General features: G+C 35.0%; 1 long non-coding RNA gene across 1 annotated transcript; it reads right to left on the bottom strand.

The window, feature by feature from the left end:
- Positions 1-598: 598 nt before the first annotated feature.
- LOC124904343 (uncharacterized) lies at positions 599-19,184 on the bottom strand. Its single transcript, XR_007066443.1, has 2 exons — positions 19,035-19,184; positions 599-889 (listed from the first exon to the last, which is right to left on the bottom strand). It is a non-coding gene; the product is annotated as an uncharacterized LOC124904343 (long non-coding RNA).
- Positions 19,185-21,159: the final 1,975 nt, after the last annotated feature.

Below are 21,159 nucleotides of genomic sequence, written 5' to 3' on the forward strand. Positions count from 1 at the left end.
CATTCTAGAGTTTTCATGACCCATGTGCTTCCTAAAACTTACAACCTGCCATTGTAATAACCTATTTGTCTTCCTTGCTAAAAAGAATGTCTGTCATATTTACCACCTTGTACAAGGCAACATTTCTATATATAGTAAATATTCAACAATATTTGTTGTATGAAACAAATAATTGCACATATTGCATAAATGAATGAATAATGGCTTTAGTTTCCTTTTGATTTGGTTGGATACATCATACATACTCTTGAATCCAACTATGCTTGCAATTAACAAAAATCCCAATCTAATTTCATATATACAGTTGCTTACCTTATTCTGTATATAAAATATGTTGAAGAAATTTATATGAATTTTTATGTCTAGTTCCTATATATGAGGAAATATATTATCTACCGATTCCTGGACTTAATTTGTGTCTCAGCAATTTGACTAAAATGATTGGTTCTGATGGTCAGAATTTGATGCCATATGGATTCTCAATGATGCTCTAAACTTGTGCAAACCTTCCTTGTGCCTTGGCCCAACTTTGGACTGATCCTATGCCTAGATCCTGCCAATGAACTGAATTCTGAGCATAACAATGGAGAAGCTGGAACCATGTTAATATTTATTGTACCAAGTTTAATTTTTAATGATAATTTATGAATATGGGCAAGAGAAGTGGATTCTCTTACTGGGAAAAACTAAAATAAATTCTCCTCGAAGAGAATTAAAGCCATCCTAGGTAGAAGATGAAAGAAGGCAAATATTGCATACATGATCCTCAGCTGGTACTGGCATGCCACTGCAGGAAAAAATTCTGAAATAAAATAACAGAAGCCATCCTCATGCTGCTTTACCAGTGGGAGTCTGTGGATGAGCTGTCAAGAACACTTGGCCTGAGGTTCTAGGAGAAAAGAAAGCAAATGAAAATCAGTGTTTATCAGCTTACATTTTTTAAGGATAGGTAATGAAACCCTTTATTTTTCACAATTACTCAACAATAGATAAAGATATAAAATGTGTGCTATAAATAGAAATATCTGTATAAGTATCTGTGTACACACATACACACACACACACACACACACACACATTTGATCCAGGCTTCCAATAAAAATTTGGGAATTTTTCATAAGAGAGATAATGTTATATTTTTCAGAACACTGTCGTTTATGAAAGAAGCCATACCCCAGTGAATGTATTCCATATATGTACTTCGCCCAGTTACCTAAAAAAGAAGGAAAAGAAATAAAGCAAAACAAACCTGTGGCTGAATTTTGCTTTTAAAGAAAATTGAGAATACCAACAGAAGCAAGTTTATAAATTTTCTATTCCGTTACCTTGTTCAGAGTAAATATGTTCTTGATTTTAGGATTTTAAATTCCACTCAGCTATAACCTTATGTTAATAAACAGGAGATATAAATTTGATTATAGCTTAGTGTTCTTTCATCTCCATATGTTACTAGCCAGCTGTGTTTAAAGCATCACATTTTTGTAGTAGAAAAATATCCAATGTCTGAATTTCTTATAAAATTGGGAGCAGTAGTATTAAGCAGAAAGCCAGACATTTGGATAAAGAAATATGCATAGTAAGAAAACTGATATACTTCTCTTCAAATGCCCCTAATACTCATGTCAAGATGGCAGGGATGATTTGCTCTGTGGAAATCCTCTGATCACAAATCCAGGCTGATGCCTCATGGGAGGTGTGTTGATTTGTTTTTACATAGAATAATATGCATTTTATGGTCAGTTCTTCATTCATTCTGTAGGGAATGCCAGAATACATGGAAGTGCTTTTTGTATGGTATGAATCCATCTGTTTTCTAAACATCACCTCTGTGAAAACTGCTTTTAATTTAGTAAATAAGTGCAATTACATCATAAGCTTCAAAGTGAAAGGGGCAGTAATGTAATAGTAAATCAATATAGATTAATTTGAGCAATGAAACTTGAGTAGCATTGCCAAATCAACCCTGAATTTAGATTCACTTTGTGTGTGTGTTTGTGTGTGTGTGTGTGTGAGAGAGAGAGAGAGATTACAAAGGCTGTTAAAGCAAATTGATGTTTTTATTTCTTTTCCTTCCCTTTTTTGCTAATTTCCACTGGAATTAACTTGGAGAAATACAAAATACCAAGGTTTGGCTGAGAATTGTTTGGAATATTTCTGGAATTAGCTAAGTTGATAATAGTGTTTGTCCTAGATACAAACGTTTTGCCTTAGAGAACACTCTCAATTTTATTACCAGTTCAGCAATTTCAAGGCCCTTATAAAGCTAACGCATAGTATGATTTTGGCTACAGTAGCATTTTTGAAAGTGATATCAGATGCCATTAGAAGAAGAACTGACTATTTTTACAGGTAATGCCCCCCCAAAATATTTAAGCTCTGATACAAAATTCTTATAGTTGCCTGAGGAAGAAAAATGGTCTTTCTGAATGTCTTGAGTATTCCATAATGCCTATGAGCACCTGCTCTGGAGTTAGGTTGCCTGAGTTCCTCTTTTGGCTCAATACTTACTAGCTTTGCATCCTTGTGCCATTAGTCTGTTGTACTTCAATTACTTCCTTTGTGAAATGATGATATTAAAAGTGTCTATCTAAATGGTTATTGTAAAGATTTATACACACATGGACACACACTCACACACAGAAGAATCCCTAAGCATAGTGCTTGGCAAAACAAACATTGACTTTTAAATAGTTATTGTTACTTTTTGCTATTGTTTAATCAAGCTATTATGATGACAGGCTACTCTCAGAAATGAGCACTTCCTGCAATGTGCTTTTCTTAAACTTTATAATTATTTTGCAGTGATTAAAATACTTGAATATCATGAGTGTAAAATAACAGCATAATATCTTTATTTTTACATGAATGCTACTTTTCAGATCTCTTCCATTTTTGAGCTACATGACATTTAATCTATCAGGATTATTTTGTTCATCATTAAAACCTACCTTTATTTCTCTATCAAAGCATCAGGTTAAAATGTTGAGCTCGTTAGCACTGAAAATAGATTACTTCTTAACTATGACTTGGACACTATTTTTGTTGTATAACTTCATAGAAAAGTCTGACATATGCTTTTCCTCATTGGACTTAAAGGTAACATTTGCAAAGTTAAAGGGTAAATAAAATTATCTCTGATTCTTTATCAGGGAGCCTGAAGTTTCATATTGATTTCGCCACAAGTGAGTTTCACGGCCTGTGATAATAAATTGATCTGTGGGCTGTCCATGTGGCAACATCTTTGCACATACCCAGTTTAACTGACAATGATGCTGCTCTGGAGACCCCAAGAACTACAGTCTCTGACTTGGGGATTTTCACCCCCTGTCATCTCAAATGTCATTTCAGAAACATTCATCATGAGTCTCTGTCACTGGACAAATAATGGTTCTCTGTGATAGTCACTAAAATACTCATAGTTTCGCTGCCTGGGTGACAGGTCCTGCTATTGGCTCTTTGAGATTATGGAGAAGTTCAGACCCGTCAGATATCAAATGGGAAAGACATGAGCTGAAATGGCACCATGTATGTCCACTGAGGCTGCTGATTAAATGAAGGAATGATATCAGGACAAGAGAGCTCTCAGAGCTGTGAGACATTTTTAGAAATAGCAAACAAAACTTGGTCCCGTTTCTCCTCGCAGTTTGCAGCAGTTGGAAAAAGGCTTTCATGGGGCAGTTACTACAGGTTAGGCTCTTTAGAATCACCTGTGCATTGAGACAATCGTTCCCTGAAACAATGGGCTTTTCTTCTTTGTTATACCTCTGGTCTTGAATGGAAGCAAAAGATTCAGGATTTCACATCATTGCAAATAATTGCCCTCTATTGAGCAACATGACAATGCTTTCTCATTGCTTAAAATGTGGTGTTGCAAATGTTAAGTGGCTTATATTGTTTGAGCTGTGTAGCTTGAGCTGTTAGTATTAGGACCCTCTTGACTCGGAGTTATAACCACGCTGGCTATTCAGGGATATATTTTAAGGCTTATCAAGCAAGCAATATTTGCCACATCTTCTGGCAATTGTTGAAGTAGGTGGGTTGCAGTAGAGGCTCCTGAAAATCAGGATATCTTTTAGGGCCCCATATGCCTATTTTCTCCCTCTTCCTTTGATGTAACAGAGCCATTTCCACTCCATTTCTGTCACAGAGCCCCCAGTCTACCTCATTACATTTATATTCACATGCTGTGAATCTCCTAATTAATATTTGGGATAAATGTATTGCATAGGGGAATAAGGTTATGAGATGAGAAATCAATGTGGTTTTTGTTAATGTCATACAATATTTTGTGTCATTCTTTCCTACCTTGTTCTTACAAAGTTAATGTAAGAACAATTTTCAGCTGTTGCTATCGGGCCCCTGCCTTGCCCACCTTCTCTTTAGTTAGGATGACTTTTACTTTGGAACTAGAATCTGTTCCATCAATATTAACTACCTTCCAATCTTTTTTGTACTTAACAAAATATCATGTCAGGTAATCTCAACATATGACCAGAGACCTATCCAAGAATTGGCTGGTAGAGGCAGAACTCTTCCTACAATCTACGCTTTTTTTTAAAATTTGTTTTTAATTAACATACTTTCCTTCCTTCCTTCTTTCCTTTATACCAAAATTAAAGCACATTTTTGTAGGTCATAAGTTAATTCAAAATTCTAATCCTTAAAAATAATTCTTAACTCCACCTCCAAAATGGAATCAAATTTCAAGTGCTGCTACTGAGTGGTTGACAAGAAAACATTACTGGAAAGATAGGCTCTTCTCTTCAATTAAATTGTCTAGAAACTAAAGTAACTTCCACATTCAGTGACCCTATTCCAGACTAAATACCTAGTGATTTGTCAATAAGGAAGGTAGTATTTGGCCTTGAGTCATCCTTCAATAAGTAAGAAAAGACAAACTTTTCTTACTTTGGTAGAAAATGATTTGATTACAGAAAGAACTCAGGCTTTCTCACTGCAATCTTGTAGATTGTCTGCCACTTAATTTATAAAGCACATTCAACTTTTATGAAGAAAGCTTTCTCTATGCACGTTAAATGAGTTTGGTATTTGTGAAAACAAGTCTACCTGGATTCTACATCTTCAGCATTCCTTTGAGAATTTAAGAGGTTAGCCACGGCAGGATGTTTCAATCTACTGATGCTTACAGTTGGTTCACTTAATAGTCCCTTTTCTTAAATTGTGTTCCCTTTAAAATGTCTTCAATATCCCACTTCACCAAGAGATACAATTATTCGTGCATCACAATACTGAAAGCTCCTCAAGGGCAGGCTTATTTTTTTAATTAGTATCATGTTCATATTAATAATATGCATATTAATACCTATTACTATTCATATCAATATTATTCAAGTTAATATCGAACACACTGTATTTTTCAACTTATATTTGTTGGGTTGAAATAGATTGAAACTGTCATCTATGTTACAAGAACAACCTTTCATAATTAATTGCTCAAGTGGGAAAGAGATAATTTACCTTTCTCGAATGTTTTCTGTTTTTGTTGTTTGCATCAAATGAAGGCATATCTTACTAATTTGGGTTATTTTCCTTTCTTTCTTCCCTCACTGCCCACATGTGTTATTAAAGTAAATCAACTTACAGCTAAAGTAGATACTATTAGTAGCACATTCAAAACTCTGGGCAAGTTCAAGCTCATTCTATCCCCAAGGTAAAGGGAATCTGATTATATTCAAGTGTATGATTTCTATTCTAGGCATGAGCATTTATGCTACTGTACTAGGGGAAGCTGTTAGAGAGATAGGAGCATAAGTAAATGTCTTTTTAATCACTTCCACATGACCTCTGATCAAACTGTCTCTTTGTAGCTTGTGTTACAGCCAGCGGGGGGAAATGATGTGTTGGAGAGTGATGGCCACTGCCCATGGAAGGCCAGAAATGAACAATGGCACAACTCAAGGAGAAAAGTACTGGGGAAAGCCCCTTAAGCTAGAATCCAAATGAGACAGGAGGAACTTTAAGGTCTCACGTGAGATCCAGCCCTTACATAATGACAAAAAAGCACTACCCCACAAAACCACGTTTTCTTATGCTCTAGTCCTAGCAGCGGCCCATGAAGCTAAAAACTGAGGAATTTCTGGCCTTAGCCTTTTTACTGTGTCCAAGTTCTGACAGATGTTTACTACTAGCTAATACTTACCTTACTACTTGCTTACTTTTTCTGGAAGTGAGTAGCAGCTCTCCTGAAATGGTGATCTCAGGACAGAGGTAAAATGATAAAATACACAAGGAAGTATATCTAGTGTTATATCTGTGTTTTCCTTACATATTTCAAATTTATCTTTTGCTGTACTCCGTCTTTGTTAAGGTTCTCCTCTCAAACTTTGGTCCTTTTCTTTAAAAATTCTACTATACTGGCCGGGCGCAGTGGCTCATCTCTGTATTCCCAGCATTTTGGGAGGCCGAGGTGGGCAGATCACGAGGTCAGGAGATCAAGGCCATCCTGACCAACATGGTGAAACCCCATCTCTACTAAAAATACAAAAATTAGCTGGGCACGGTGGCACATGCCTGTAATCCCAGCTACTCGGGAGGCTGAGGCAGGAGAATCGCTTGAACCCGGGAGTCGTAGGTTGCAGTGGAGCCGAGATTGTGCCACTGCACTCCAGCCTAGTGACAGAGAGATACTCCGTCTCAAAAAAAAAAGAAAAATTGTACTATACTGAGTTAACCTGAGGTGAGGAGATTATATTTCAAAGTTATTGCCACAAGGTATTCAGCACTTAGAGGCTGTTTTCAAATATTCTGGTGTCTTAAAATCAAGCACATAAAAATATACTTACTGATTTATTATGTAAACTCCATGTTAGAAATATATACTTATGGCCAGGTGTGGTGGCTCACACCTGTAATTCCAGCACTTTGGGAGGCCAAGTTGGGAGGATTGCTTGAGCTCAGGAGTTAGAGACCAGCCTGGACAACATAGGGAGACCCCCATCTCTATCAAAAAACCAAAAAAATTATCTAAACATGGAGGCACACACCTGTGGTCCCATCTACTTGGTGGATGGGTCCCAGTTACCCCAGCCTCGGTGACAGAGCAAAACTTTTCTAGGAAAAAAAAGAGATCCTATATATATGTGTGTGTGTGTGTGTGTGTGTGTGTGTGTGTGTGTATGTGTGTGTGTGTGTATATATATGGATATATGTGTGTATATATATGTAAATATATGGATATATATGTGTATATATATGGATATATATACACACAATATATATCCATATATTCACACATGTATACATTATATATCAATAAATATATAACATCAGTTGTGAAAATTTTCATTAATAGTTACTTTTAGTGCGTTACAAAATGTTTTTAAAAATCCAATATATCCATAATCCTATATATTTAAGCAGCTTATTCAGTCACTATAAATCTACAGCTGATTTTGGCAAAGATCTAACCTTTCCAAGGACTGGATCTTACTTTTCTAAGCACTAGGGCCTCTACTATCTGTTGAGTGGCTCATTGCATCTTTGCTTCTTTCTTTTTGATTAAGGCAGGGAGTAATTGCCTAATTAAAGTAGTGTTGGGAAGATGAAGTAAGCAGAGTGGAGTCAAATTAGCTAATGGTTCTCAATCTTGGCTATATAATGGGAATTATTATAGGAGATTTAAAAATAGATCCTACCTCCAGAGATTCTGATGTAGTTGATATGAGGTGTGGCCTGAGCCTTTGTATTTTAAAAGTTTCCTAGGTGACTTTCACATGCCGTTAAGGCTACCGACCACCAAATTAAAGGTGAAGAGGTATTACACTTTATCAATTAAGTTTTTCATAGCAGTAATAGTTCCACTAGATTGTATGGATGTAGAACATCAAAATAATACAAATTACATATGGAAATAATTTATAAAATATTACATATAACTCTTACAGAGCTTGAAGAATGGAGCAAATCTCCAGCCAGGAAAAGTCACTAAAATTCCTTGTGTTTCTAAATGACCTATTATTTATGTCATTATTTAATATAAAGTGTGTAATGTTATTTGGAACAATAAGTGCTCTCATTTTTCGGTATGAAGTTACCATTATAAATGATTTTAAAGATGAAACTGAAAGAATAACATAAGTAAAAGTGAATTCCAAAGTAAACTTAAACGAATTAGACATTCTTCTGCTAGAAATCATCCTCAAAGCTTTACCTAACAACATTATTAAAGTGCATACTAGATTGGAAACTTATGATTAGATTTGGAGTGAAAAACATCATCTTGTGGCATGTACTTCTTGAAGATTTGGATATTTTAGATTAGCATTTGTGGCTCTTAAATTGATTTTTTTTCTTCTTCACTTATAAAAATAATAACCAGGAAGTACAAGGTAAGATACGCAGCAGGCATTCACTTCATTTTATACATACTCACATATATATATGTGAACCCCAAGAAATCAATAGTTGTTAAAAATGTGGGAGATAAGTAGGGCTTCTTTGGAAATATTTTTTTCAGAGAAACGAGAGGATTATTTGATTTTTATTTTTTATGCTAATTGGGGAAAAAAGGTAAAGGATGTGTAAATAGGATTCATATTTCTCATAGATTTGTTGTAAAATTTAATAGCATTAGTAAAAACTTGGATGGAGAAGACATTGCTTGAATGATTTTATGTTTCTCAGATTATTCTTCACCAGGACTCTATGTAAATGACCACTAGACAAGAGAACTAGGTCTTAGACAGCTTAGTATAGTTTCCAGCATTGCACAGTTACTAATTGATGAAGTCAGGAATGAAATCCAAGTCTGTGTAAATCCAAAACCTCTTCTATCTCTGTTGTAACACCTTACTGTGAGAGATTATCAAGAGGGCTGTGGAATTATCTCTAAACCTCTTAAAATACATGGTGATTTTCAATCTTGCTTCAGAGTTGCAGAAAGTAGGGAATGTATTAAACATGTGATCTAAATATTAAGTATTGAAATAGAGTAAAAATGAATTCCTCATCTAACTTAGTCATTTCTGGCTGCTGTCACAGAATACTATGGGTTGAGTGGCTTAAACAATAGCTGTATTTCTCAAAGTTCTCAAGTCTGGAAGTCCAAGATTAGGTGCCAGTATGGCTGGGTTCTTGGTGGGGGCCCTCCTCCTAGTTCACAGTGGGCCATCTTCTCACTTATCTTCACATGGAGGAGAAGAGAGATCCGTTCCCTTCATCTCCTTATTAGTACACTATTCCCATCACAGGGGGTTCACTCTCATGACCTCATCTAAACCTGATTACCTCCCAAACAGGCCACCTCCAAAAAGCACCCAATTTGGGATTAGGGCTTTAATACATGAATTTTGAGGGTACAGAGAGATTGTCCATAGCGTGATTAAACATTTTTTCTTCAAATATTATTACTCTTAACCTAAAGAGACGTTAAGTGCTGTGAAGACAGAAAAGGAGTTGATGACTGTACAGGCAACAAATAGAGCAAGGCTATGGCCACAGTGGATGCTGCCCTTGTCCATAGTGAACTCCATTCTTGCTGGATTTAAATACATTCAGGGCCATCTCCGGGAAGATTTTGTGTAGCACCTGCATTTGTGTTTTTATTGTGCTATTTCGATTTTTACGCATTTCTTCTGTAATACCCATCTTCTTATGCCTTAGGCTATTGCCACTCACTTTAGTGTCCTATTTTTAACTTGCAACTCTATTTATTTGGAGCTTACTTTCCTCTTTCCTAACCTGAGAATTTCTTTGTTAACACAATCTCTACTAAAATGAATGACTCAAATATGGGCATTTTGTCCAGTGACCAAGACTTTGAGGTTATATTTGGAAGCATAGAAATTTTTTGCACGCTTACAATTATACTTTGAGAATGACTACTTATTTTGTTACATCTAAGGGTCCTGGTAGCTTTACAGAAACACAGATTCTATGAGTCTTTAAAAAAACATAAGACCACTTATATTTATATTTTAATTTTAAATATTACAAAACAGAACAAAACAAAATTCAAAACAATTTCCAGTGCTTTCATTGTAAAAATGCCAACAAATTTAATGTCTAACATGTCACCTGCTGTACTTTCCTCGTTACATAGATAGATAAGAAAATGAGGACCCAAATGGGCCAAAGGAATTTGACAAAGATCACAAAACTAATTAGCAGTGGAACTAAAATGCAAATCCAAGGCTGTCATTTCCTTATCAATGTTCATTTCAATAAGTAATATTGACTTTTTAGAAAGTCAAGTTATGAAGCTCTAGAAGAGACACGTAACAACACCTCAAGTAAGTCAACAAAGTAGTTGCCTTTGCCAGGAATGTCATCAACATTTATTTTATAGTAATTATATAATGTCTTCCCATCTCACCAATGATGGGCTTCCATTAGGTTCTACCAAAAAATTGTTCTTTTGATTGTTTAAAAATTTCTTTTATACTCATGTCTCAGTTTAACAGTTGTGGCAAATAATCTTTAAATTTTTTTGCTCATGAAACACATTCAATCCATTGACAAATACAGCTGATTCTACATTCTCAGTGAATTTGTGTCTCTATTTCCTTCTCACTGTCAATGCCAAAGTGGCTTTTCTAAAGCACAATACAACTATTTCCTGTCCTTGTCCCTCCCAGGAAAACGGAAAGCTGGGGAACACATAGTGCCAAGCTTGGATTTGAGCCTCTCAACTTATTCCCACTTACTAGTGATTACAGAGTAATTGGGAAAAAAATTCATCATGTCTGTTCCTGCGTCCTCAGCTAGAAAATGTGAATGATAACAACAATAATGTTGTGAGCCTCAAGTGAAAAAATTATATGCAAAAAGAGAAGAGCGCAGCAGGAAGATAGAGCTAATAGAAAGAATTAAGACTTGGAGTCAAAGTACCTGGCTTGGACTTCTGTTTCTGCCTATACTTGAAGTAATTTAGGAGCATTACTTTAACCTTTTATTTTATTTTTTCTATAAGTTAATTATAATACTATTGATACTTTCATAAGATCATGGGGAAAATTAACTTAATGAATTACAAGCATTTAGAAAACCACATATAGTCAGTAAACACCTGATATTATTAAATGACTTGTAAACTTTGAAGCATTATAAAACAACAAATGTACCTAATATCGGGGCCCGGAAGTAAACTCCGGACTCTACATTTTTATATTATATCGTATTTCATATACTATTTTTGTCTACTTGAAGTGAGCATTTAATTTAATCAAAAGATTTGCTGGTTTGATTAAATTTAATAATATAAACAACAGTTACTCATGAGAATGTTTTATAAAATCCAGGAAATAAGCTAATTTTGAATGACACTAATTAGGCAAAAAGCTTTGCAATGTTTACTTTGTGGTATTTGATAGAACTTTTAATTTGATTATCAAATAATTTTTTTGGTTTAAGAAAATAGTGGATTCATTACATTTTCTAAATACAGGCAAATTATTATTTTGAAAATATTTTAAAAGAAATATTTTCATGTTGTATCTTTGGCGAAAAGCAAATCATTAAAAATTACACTTGCTTAGAAGTACAAAAGATAAAAAAAGTGTGTAAAGAAAATCAATCAATTAATCAAAGTTTAAGTGCTTATTATGTTTCAGGGTAGACATGAAAAAATGAATTACCCACAGTTCTTGATGTGATATCGAGCTACAATGTACTGTACCTACACTGATACACCGATCAGTTTAGATTACTCATTAGTAAACTCAGTTTGTTCCTTAAAGCAAGTCAAAACTTAAAAAGTTTCACTCGCTTGAATTTCTCAAAGTGTCTCTTTGAGGAAAGATGTTGAATAAAACTCTTTTTTTTTTAAGACAAGAGTCTTGCTCTGTCACCTAGGCTGGCGTGATCTCAGCTCACTGCAACCATCGCCGCCCGGGGTCAAGTGATTCTCCTGCCTCAGCCTCCGAGTAGCTGGGATTACAGCCACATGCCACCATGCCCGGTTAATTTTTTGTATTTTTAGTAGAGGTGGGGTTTCACCATGTTGCCCAGGCTGGTCTCGAACTCCTGAGCTCAGGCAATCTGCCCCCCCTCGGCCTCCCAAAGTGCTAGGATTACAGGCGTGAGACACTGCGCCCAGCCTTGTAAAACTTCTTTGAAATGCCATTAGTTCCTGTTATTTTTCCCCTGTACTTTACAAGTAAACTGACTGTGCCATTTTATTTGTGTCAAGTAGCTTGTGCCTCCCATTTCCATTTTTGTCAGCTACTAATGCTATCTTGCAGCAGTGCTGTTCAGTGGGCCCAGGGGAGCCAAGTGTCAGTTTTTCCAGATGACAAGCTGCCAGTCTATAGCACACTGCTCAAAGTCACAGACAGACTGCATTTCTTTGCAGAACCAAAGAACATCATTTACTTTATGCACACCTTTGTACATGATCAGCTCACAGTAGTTGATGAAATAGCCCTGAAAAAGACACAGATTGAGAGCGAGACACAATGACCGAGACAGGAAAGGAAGAGAGAGATAAGGAGATGCAAAGAGACACAGGAGGATGCTATTTTAGTGAATTCAGCCCATTTTCTGGGCTATTATTGAACGACATACTTATTTTGTAAAAGGAAAGTTTTTAAACATTATTGCCAATTTACAGGAACTTCTCTCCTAATAGCTGGAACAAAATTCTCAATTTGCTCTAATTAAAATACTAGTTTTGGGGAATGAATTTTTCCCCTTTGATATTTAAACTGAACATTAAAAAAAGCTAAATCACTTTAAATGGTCTTTAAATTGCATTCTCTCTATCAGAATTGTTAACTCTTTTTGCCTAAGGAGAAAACCCACCATGTATGAATATAATATCTGAGTGGAATAGAAAGTGGCTTTTCTGTAATAAATATTTTGGCTATTACAGAGTTTGTATTTAAATGGGAAGTATTATGAGTTCTACCAATGGGGAATGCTAAATGAGAAATATGTTATTTCTTAATAGCCATGTAAATGAAAACCTGAAGCATGGGAAACTGTATGATCTGAAATAATATATCTACAGGTAGAAAGTTTAAATGCAAAGGGCTATAAATCACAAGATGCAGCAGAACATAGCATATAGGCAGTGAAGGCTGCAACCAAGACAGGGATTTCAGTGTCAAGCCTACTAGGTATCAGAAGATGGGCAATCCCTTTGGGCCTAATCTGTAAATAAGAAGTTTGGTTTGGTTCTTTAAATTGCTCCCTTCTTTCAGGTGATATTGATTATAACTAAAAGTCAAATACCTACTGAGCAAGTATAAAGCATTACTTTGAGATAGTTTTGTTATTATAACACATCTTCATTTTATGATATAGAAAAATGACGTTATTTTGGAAGAGGAATTCAGAAATGCAATGTTTTCTGATGGCTCTTTCTTAATACAAACATTGATAATTCCCAGGGCTCATGTATATTGAATAACCACAGTGCGATGCCAGCATCTGAGAGCTATGATTATTGTTGTTCTTAATTTTTTCATCACCTTCAAATGTCTTTAATCAAATAATTAATGAATTTTATTCATGTAAGAATTAAAGGAATAAATTATTTTTCTACTGGAAAGAAGTTATTTTAATTCACAACTAAAAGTAAAATTGTAAGTGTTACAATGGGCAATGACAGAAACATGATTATTTTTTAAATAAGATAGCATAAAGCTAGACTTTAAAAAATGTATTCTAAAAATAATAACATTTCTATTTTTTGTATACTACCTTGTTCCAAGATAAAATTTGAATTATAACTTTGAATATTCTTTAAGTTATTACAGCATTTCGACTTTTATTACAAGATAGAAAGTTTATGGCAGGATAAACAGATAAAAAGAACTGCAAAAAATCTTTTCAATTTGAAAAACCCTTCTTGATCAACTCTATTTTACTAAATCTTCTCATTTATTTATCAAAGATTTCCAAAAGTGTACGGTGTTAGTTCAGATGCTATGAAATTCAAAGAAAAATGAATCATTTACACTGCATTTCAGAAGCTTAATAAAGGCTGCAAAATACAATGCAACCCTTGGAGTCCACAAATAGTACCATCACCATACAGAACCAAATATACGCTTTTTAAAAATTTTGACTTAAAGAATTAATTTTATATTCTAAGTATAGAGTTTTTAGATGTAGTATTGCTGGTCAGTAATCAGAGCACTAGTTTTTAAGAAAAAATCAACTTTGGTATTTTCATAGTAAGAGAAGCAGAGGGAAATTTTCATGTGTTATGAATTTGAAACATATATGTAGATAGCTTTATATTCTCTATGAGGAATCTATGGCTCACATTGACTAAATAGCTTTCCCAAGATTCAAGTCTGATGATAGCAAGAGCTGTCTCAATTCAGAGAATCCTGGATGTAGCACGAGGGCTCACTCCATTATTTCCTGGTATGGTAAGACTTTATGGGGTTGGGAGGATTTAAAATGTTTTAATTCCTTGTTGCTTTTGTCCTCAGTATTGTGAATGCAATGGCTGGCACATGGTAGGAATTTGTTTAAAATTTGAGTTGTTGAGGAAAGGAATCAATAAAGAAGCTCTAAGGGCATAATTTATATTAGTGTATGATAAAATATAGGAGGCAATGTGTACATGAGAGGATGGGAGTGGCAAAGAGTTCTAGGAGATTGAAGAAAAGAGACTAAAGCCCAGACCTTTCTTTCTCATTGTTTTCTAGCCCATTGTTCAGGCTTCCTCACTATCGTTCCATACAAATATAAAAGACTGAGTAATTTCTAGAGTGCCAGTCTTCTACAAAACTTTCACATGCTTTTTCATTAACATAACAGTTAGTGCTTCATGTGTTATTAATATAATGACCAGTGTTCACTTTAATAGGAACTGAGCTCGGCACCCTTTCTCTTGATCTCGTTTCATTCTCATAAGCCCTCTGAGGTAGATGCTACTATTACCCTTGGAAGGCAATGGAACAAAAGCTGAAGCCTTTGAAACTTTCCCCATTCAAACTGTTAATCAGCAGTGAGCCTGGGATGTGGATGCTGTGCTGACTGAAGGAGAGTTTCTGCTTGTAACAGCTACAGGAGTATTCTGCATCAAATACGTATTCTGCATAAATTAGTTTCATAGGTTATAAATAGAAAAAGAAAAAAATAGCAGCTCTGTTTTATGTTCAAATAATACATTGGAACCAAGACACCTATTTGGTTTATTCAAGATTTCTCTAGAATTTTAAATGGTTATATGCATTACATTTTCAACAGAATACAGGAATAATGTATGTTGCATTTCTTAAAAGTATTTGACCATGTAACACCTGTTTAAAAATTATTTTTTCCTAATTTGTTAAATTCCTTTTCTGGGTTACTGTCTATTAACCCTCTCATCTTCTCCAAATATCTCAGCCCTATCTCATAGCTAGCCCCAGACCATTACTTGCCATGGTAAAACATATACAAGGTAATTAAGAAATATTTCTTCAAAAATAAGTGCATATAGTAATCTGATATTTTGCTGCTATTTCCTTATTTTGAAACTGCTTTTTTTCTGAAAACTGTGCAAGTCTAAGTCCACTGTTTTTTTTTTTTTCATATACTTGCTAATAAAACTTTCATTATCCGTTAGCTGAAGCCATTTGTCACTTTGGACTTAAATTTTTTTTTTCAATTACAGTGAATTTTTTTGATGGCAGGAATGATATATCATTCATCTTGATGTTTTTCAATGCAAATAGTAGAATCTTAATAAATGTCGAATGTGACTACTTTTCATTTCCTCTCGGATCCAGCATTCCTGTGAACACTTATGCATAGGCTATGTTTACTTCTATCCTGTCCATAATTAAGGTTATTTCAGATCTTGAGAGATGAGGTTTTAGATAGCAGAGATCTTCTCAAGTTAGACTAATTAATGGTCCTAGCTTTCATATAACATTTCACTGGTAAAGAAAAAGGCATGGAATTTATTTCTTCTTACCAAAGAATATTTCATAAACTATATATTTTTTTCTGATTGTAACAAATAACAATTTGAGATATCACAGCATCTGCTCACACTAGGAAGCCTAAGGGAGAGGAGATTACAGTTATCCAGTTTGGATATGACAGGTCTTGAGGCTGGGAATGGAAAGGGAATATCAGCTTCAAGCAGTGGTGTAAATAGGGTGGTGTGGTCACACTGCTTACAAACACAGAAGGAGAGAATAGGGCCAAAAGTTTTGATCTGGGTGCCTTCAGATAATTCCTCCCATGCGTCTGGGATGACTCTTGTTAGTCTGCATTGTATAGTGGCCCGGCTTCATCTTAACCTTTTTGTTCATCTGTAGCCTTGTAACCACTTTTACATGTTTGTACTGACCAGCCTTGTATCAAAACATGTCTAACCTGTTGCCTACACAAGGGTATCTTTCACTGAGTCCCTGAGAAATTATTCCTATGCCCTGCTTCTAATCCCAGTCAGTTGTAGTATTTTTCCTGAGATACCTCCCCACTCGTGGACTTAACAGATGTTATCATGATCATAAGAATCATTAACATGGCTTTCTGTATTTATGGGCTTGCGCTAAACTGACTCAATTTTCCTTTTCTCCTAATTTTTTCTCTTAATTCTGTTCTTGGTTTTCTTGTTTGTATATTGTCTGAATAAATTCTAATCATTCCTGTCTCTACGGGCGGCACTACCTACCTTTATGAATGTTAAGTGATAAATAGATGTCTGTGCACTAAAAACCCATACAATTATACATTCCAAATCTACGGATTTTGAGAATATTTTTGCTCTTGTTATTGCTTTTTAACAGTCAGATATTCTTTCTCAGCCAGGGTTGTCAAGTCAGATTCAAATCAAACATGGCGATGTTCATTAAACTATGAGGATGCAAAGGCATAAGAATGATACAATGAACTTTGGGGACTTGAGGAGAAGAGTGGGAGGGGGGAAAGGGATAAAAGACTACAATATGGTGCAGTGCATACTGCTCAGGTGATGGGTGCACCAAAATCTCACAAATCACCACTAAAGAACTGACTCTTGTAACCAAATACCACCTTTACCCGAATAACTTATGGAACAATAAAATAAAATAATAAAATTAAAACAAAACAAAAACAAACAAAAAAAATAATTAACTGTTATAGCAGAGCAAGAAAACTGATATTCTTGCATGGTTGATAACAAAAGATGTGTCTGTTTTACCTATTTTATGTGGCTTATAAACTGGTTTTGAAAGTAATTTCAGATTTTTCAAAAGATAACATCACAATAATCAGTCACTGGATTTCAGTCATCGTTTAAGAATATTTATTTTCATAGACAAAATCCTGCCCAAGAATATACAAATTAGTAATAGATAAGCCTAGTTTTAAAAAAAATAGTAAATAATCAGAGATCTCACCATATAAGCGCCATTCACTTACTCATGTGCAATGGGGACTTTTTACTAGACTCGGTCCAGAAGCTGCAGTTCTAGCCAATCTAATGCCTTGGCTTAATTTTGTTTGCCTGGACGAGTGGTGAGCTGAAGTAACGCCAGAGTGAAAATCTCAATTCAGAGACAGCAATGTTTTCTTGACTCTCAGGGCTGATCTCATTGTTGCTGCTAATTCCAACTTGGCTCCTGCTGATCACTGGCAAAGGGATCTGATACTGTTTTACTTTCAATTTGGGGAAATATTTTAGAATTTGCCTTGGGGCAGAAAGCTCAAGTTAAAACTGGTCTCATGCCAGCAAAATGAGAAGTTGTCAATACATGTTTGTTGAATTGAATTGAACAGTCCTGGATGCAATTAGTATTATGACAGGAAAGAGGAGGCTGGTGGCAATTACTCAATATTTGTGCATCACCTACTATATAATAGTATGTATGAAAGAGAGAGCACAGTTTACATCTCTGACCTTCAATAGCTTCCAATCTTGTAATGGCTGACAGTGAGACATACTGCACTTCCTTACAAAACATAGAAATAATGAGGGAGAGAAGAACAAACCTATCACCATGCCCCAGGCAACATTATAGAGAAGTTTCAAACCATGTTTCAAGACAAGGCTGTAAATACACATCCTTGGCAAATTATACCAATTATGCCTCCCTGGTAAGGTTGTCATGCATATAAATATTTACCTATCACTTAACATAATGCTTGCCATCTAGTCAAAGCTCAATCAGCAAGGGACAATCCTACAGAATCAGGGTTGGGGCCTCTTGGCCATTTGCAAATTGCAATGCTTCCTTCTGAACATGAATTTGGAAAGCAACCTGGGTAGGAAACCACAGCAGAGCAAGGCAATTGCCCTAGGAAATGTATGTAAGTTATAACTTACAAGGCAGTGGAACTAAGCATTAGGTATTTTCTAGTTCTTTATAGCTTACGTTTTCTCTTGCAGTCTGTCATGCTGGTTACTTTGTAATAGCTCTGGTAAGGAAATTTGAGAATGTCCCTCTAAAGTCTTAATGAGATAGAAAATATAATTGGATAGCATCTTTAATACAAAAGAGAGAGACATGGAATTACAGGGAAGAAAGTAAGACCAAAATAATGTTCAACTTAATCTTTAAAAGTATTTTTTTTTGTCTGAGCACAAGGAGCAGTATCAAATGTCTGTTCAGATAGTTGGTGTGGTCCAGAAATTAAATGAGAGACCTCTTATTCTATGTGCTGGGTAACAAGTTTGGGTATGACAATTGTGTTTTCCTGAATAAAAATAGAAGCAATTAACTAAGAACACTTCCCACTGATTTCCATCTCTTAGAATTTTATACCATTTACTGTCTAAATTTAAATTTGTGCTTGGTTAAAAAAAAATAGTTCTCCACTGATCTAATTTTCCCTAATTTATATATGACACACACACCCACAGACACACATATGTAAAACACCTCTAACTAGACTCTCTTTTTATTTTTACTAACTCATATTTACTTCTTGACAATATCTATTTCTCTTCGTATCCATGACCTGCTTGATATGGTTTGTATGTGTCCTCTTCTAAATTCAGATGATAAAACTTAATTAGCAATGTGATGGTATTAAGAGGTGGGACCTTTAAGAGATGACAAGGCCAAAATTGCTCCTTCCTTTTCAATGGGATTAAGTCCCTTATAAAAGAGACTTCACAGGGTGTTCTGCTTACTTACCCTTCTGCTTTCAGCCATCTGAGAACACAGTGTTCCTTTTTTCCAGAAAATGCAACAACAAGGGTCCATCTTGGAAGCAGAGGGCAGCCTTCACCAGACAATCAAACCTGCCACCTGCCTGTGCCTTGATGTTGGACTTCTCAGCTTCTAGAACTGTGAGAAAATAAATTTCTATTTATAAATTATCTGCTTTCAGGTATTTTTGTTGGAGCAGTACAAAACAGACTAAGACAATAATTCTGGCTGCACTTTGATATTCATTTAAGTTTCTATTTAACATCTTGTTGCTGTGCTAAGAGTGTTCATGTGACTTCAGTTGCTTCTGCAAAGATCACACGAAGATACTAGTTAATAAGGAGCTTAATTTTTGCTTAGTCTCAGAGTCTTATTTGTCTTGGATCACTTTCCTCTCCTTTGTCGTAATTTGTCCGTATTAGTGGCTCTCAAGCTAGGGTGAATCTCTGAATCTTCTGTGGAGCTTCTCAAAGACACAGATGCTACCACTGTAGCCTAGGGTTTCTGAGTCAGATCCTGGATGGGATTGAGCATTGGAATAACAGATGCATAATTAGAAGATCCCAGGGTGAGCTTTGCCACCCCTTAGATTTACTTACATTCCATAAGAAAGGTCTGTTTATACACATTTTGCTGCCCCCAGCTGCACAGATTTTCACTTTGCTTAGTAGGCCTAACCTGCCAGTCCAAATTTCTACTCCTAATGTATAAACTTGTGCATTGACGTTAATTCGTCAAGTTTATTTCTTCCATTTTGATAACTATTAAATCATACTGAATGTCCAGCAAGTAAATTTTATTTGAAAATGCTATTAAAAACTAGGTTTAAATTAATTAATATGGTACATTAGTTAACGGTATAGGTTAGATAAATGCATTTTAATTTTGTTTTCTGAGAAAATGCTTTAAACAATATATTACATTAGTAAAGAAAATTCCACATTGTAAACTGAGCTGTTGATGTAATTATTTTATCTTGATTAGTGTTTTTGAACCCTTTCAAATCAGGCCTAACAACAGGTCTCCTATTCTATCTCTGTGCTTGCTAATCTATTATCACTTTTAGGGACAACATTAGTTAAGAAGCCCACAACAATTATTTGGTATTATATCATAATTACTCTTCTCTCTGGACAATTTAACTTTTTCAAGAACACAAAGTAATACAAGAATCAAACTATTATATCACAAAAAATGGTTTTATAGTTTTTTGTTCCGTTATAAAAATAGTTTAAAGAATGGAATGCAAGAAACTTATTCACGTGTTCCAAAAAATTGCTTAAAATAGATGGGATGCTTAATGTGATTGCCATTAAAAGAAATCAGTAAGGAAACTCTTCAGCCATTGAAGCAATCAAACACAGCTGAATAACATTTATTGGAAACCATGATATATTTTATAAATCAAGATGGTAAATCAATATCAAGGTTGAAGGTGCACCTGTGGTGATCAGTCTTGGTTGCATTTTCCGGACAGGTGACCACATAATATGGATTGGGAAGAGGCTTATATTGAACAGAGGAGATAAACTGATATCTGGGTCATTCACTGCATACAGCCACAAAGAAGATGGGAACTTAATGAATGAGTCTTCTTATGTGCATATAATTACATAAACAAACAAGAAACACTCATGTGAGAGTAGTGGCATTGTCAAATTAAATGGTTAGTATATGTTAGAGGTTACAAAATTAAAAATAAGAAGCTGCATCATAAATCATAGAATCTGTGAAGCAAAAAGTACCTTAGAGAATGTAACTCAACACTCTCATTTTACAGATGTGAAATAAAGAAGCGGAGCAGATAAATGATTTGCTCAAGCCAAAATAATAGGTAATGTCTAGATCGAGAAACCCAGATGCTATTCTTTCTGTTTCTGATGTATATTTGTAATATCCAGGAATTACACAAAAGCATACATAGACATGTAGAATTAATATAATGTTTCTATGGTGAAAGATATTTAGCTAGTTGGTTTTCTGGAGTTTCATTTCTATTTTCCCAGAAGTAGAATTTTATTTATAAAAGGTAGACCTCCAGAGAAATCCACAAAAGTTTTCATGTCAAAAAATATATTTTCCATTGCAGTTGAAAAAAGGAGTGGTGGAA

This window comes from Homo sapiens, chromosome 18, assembly GCF_000001405.40.
Source record: "Homo sapiens chromosome 18, GRCh38.p14 Primary Assembly".
Lineage (NCBI taxonomy): Eukaryota > Metazoa > Chordata > Mammalia > Primates > Hominidae > Homo > Homo sapiens.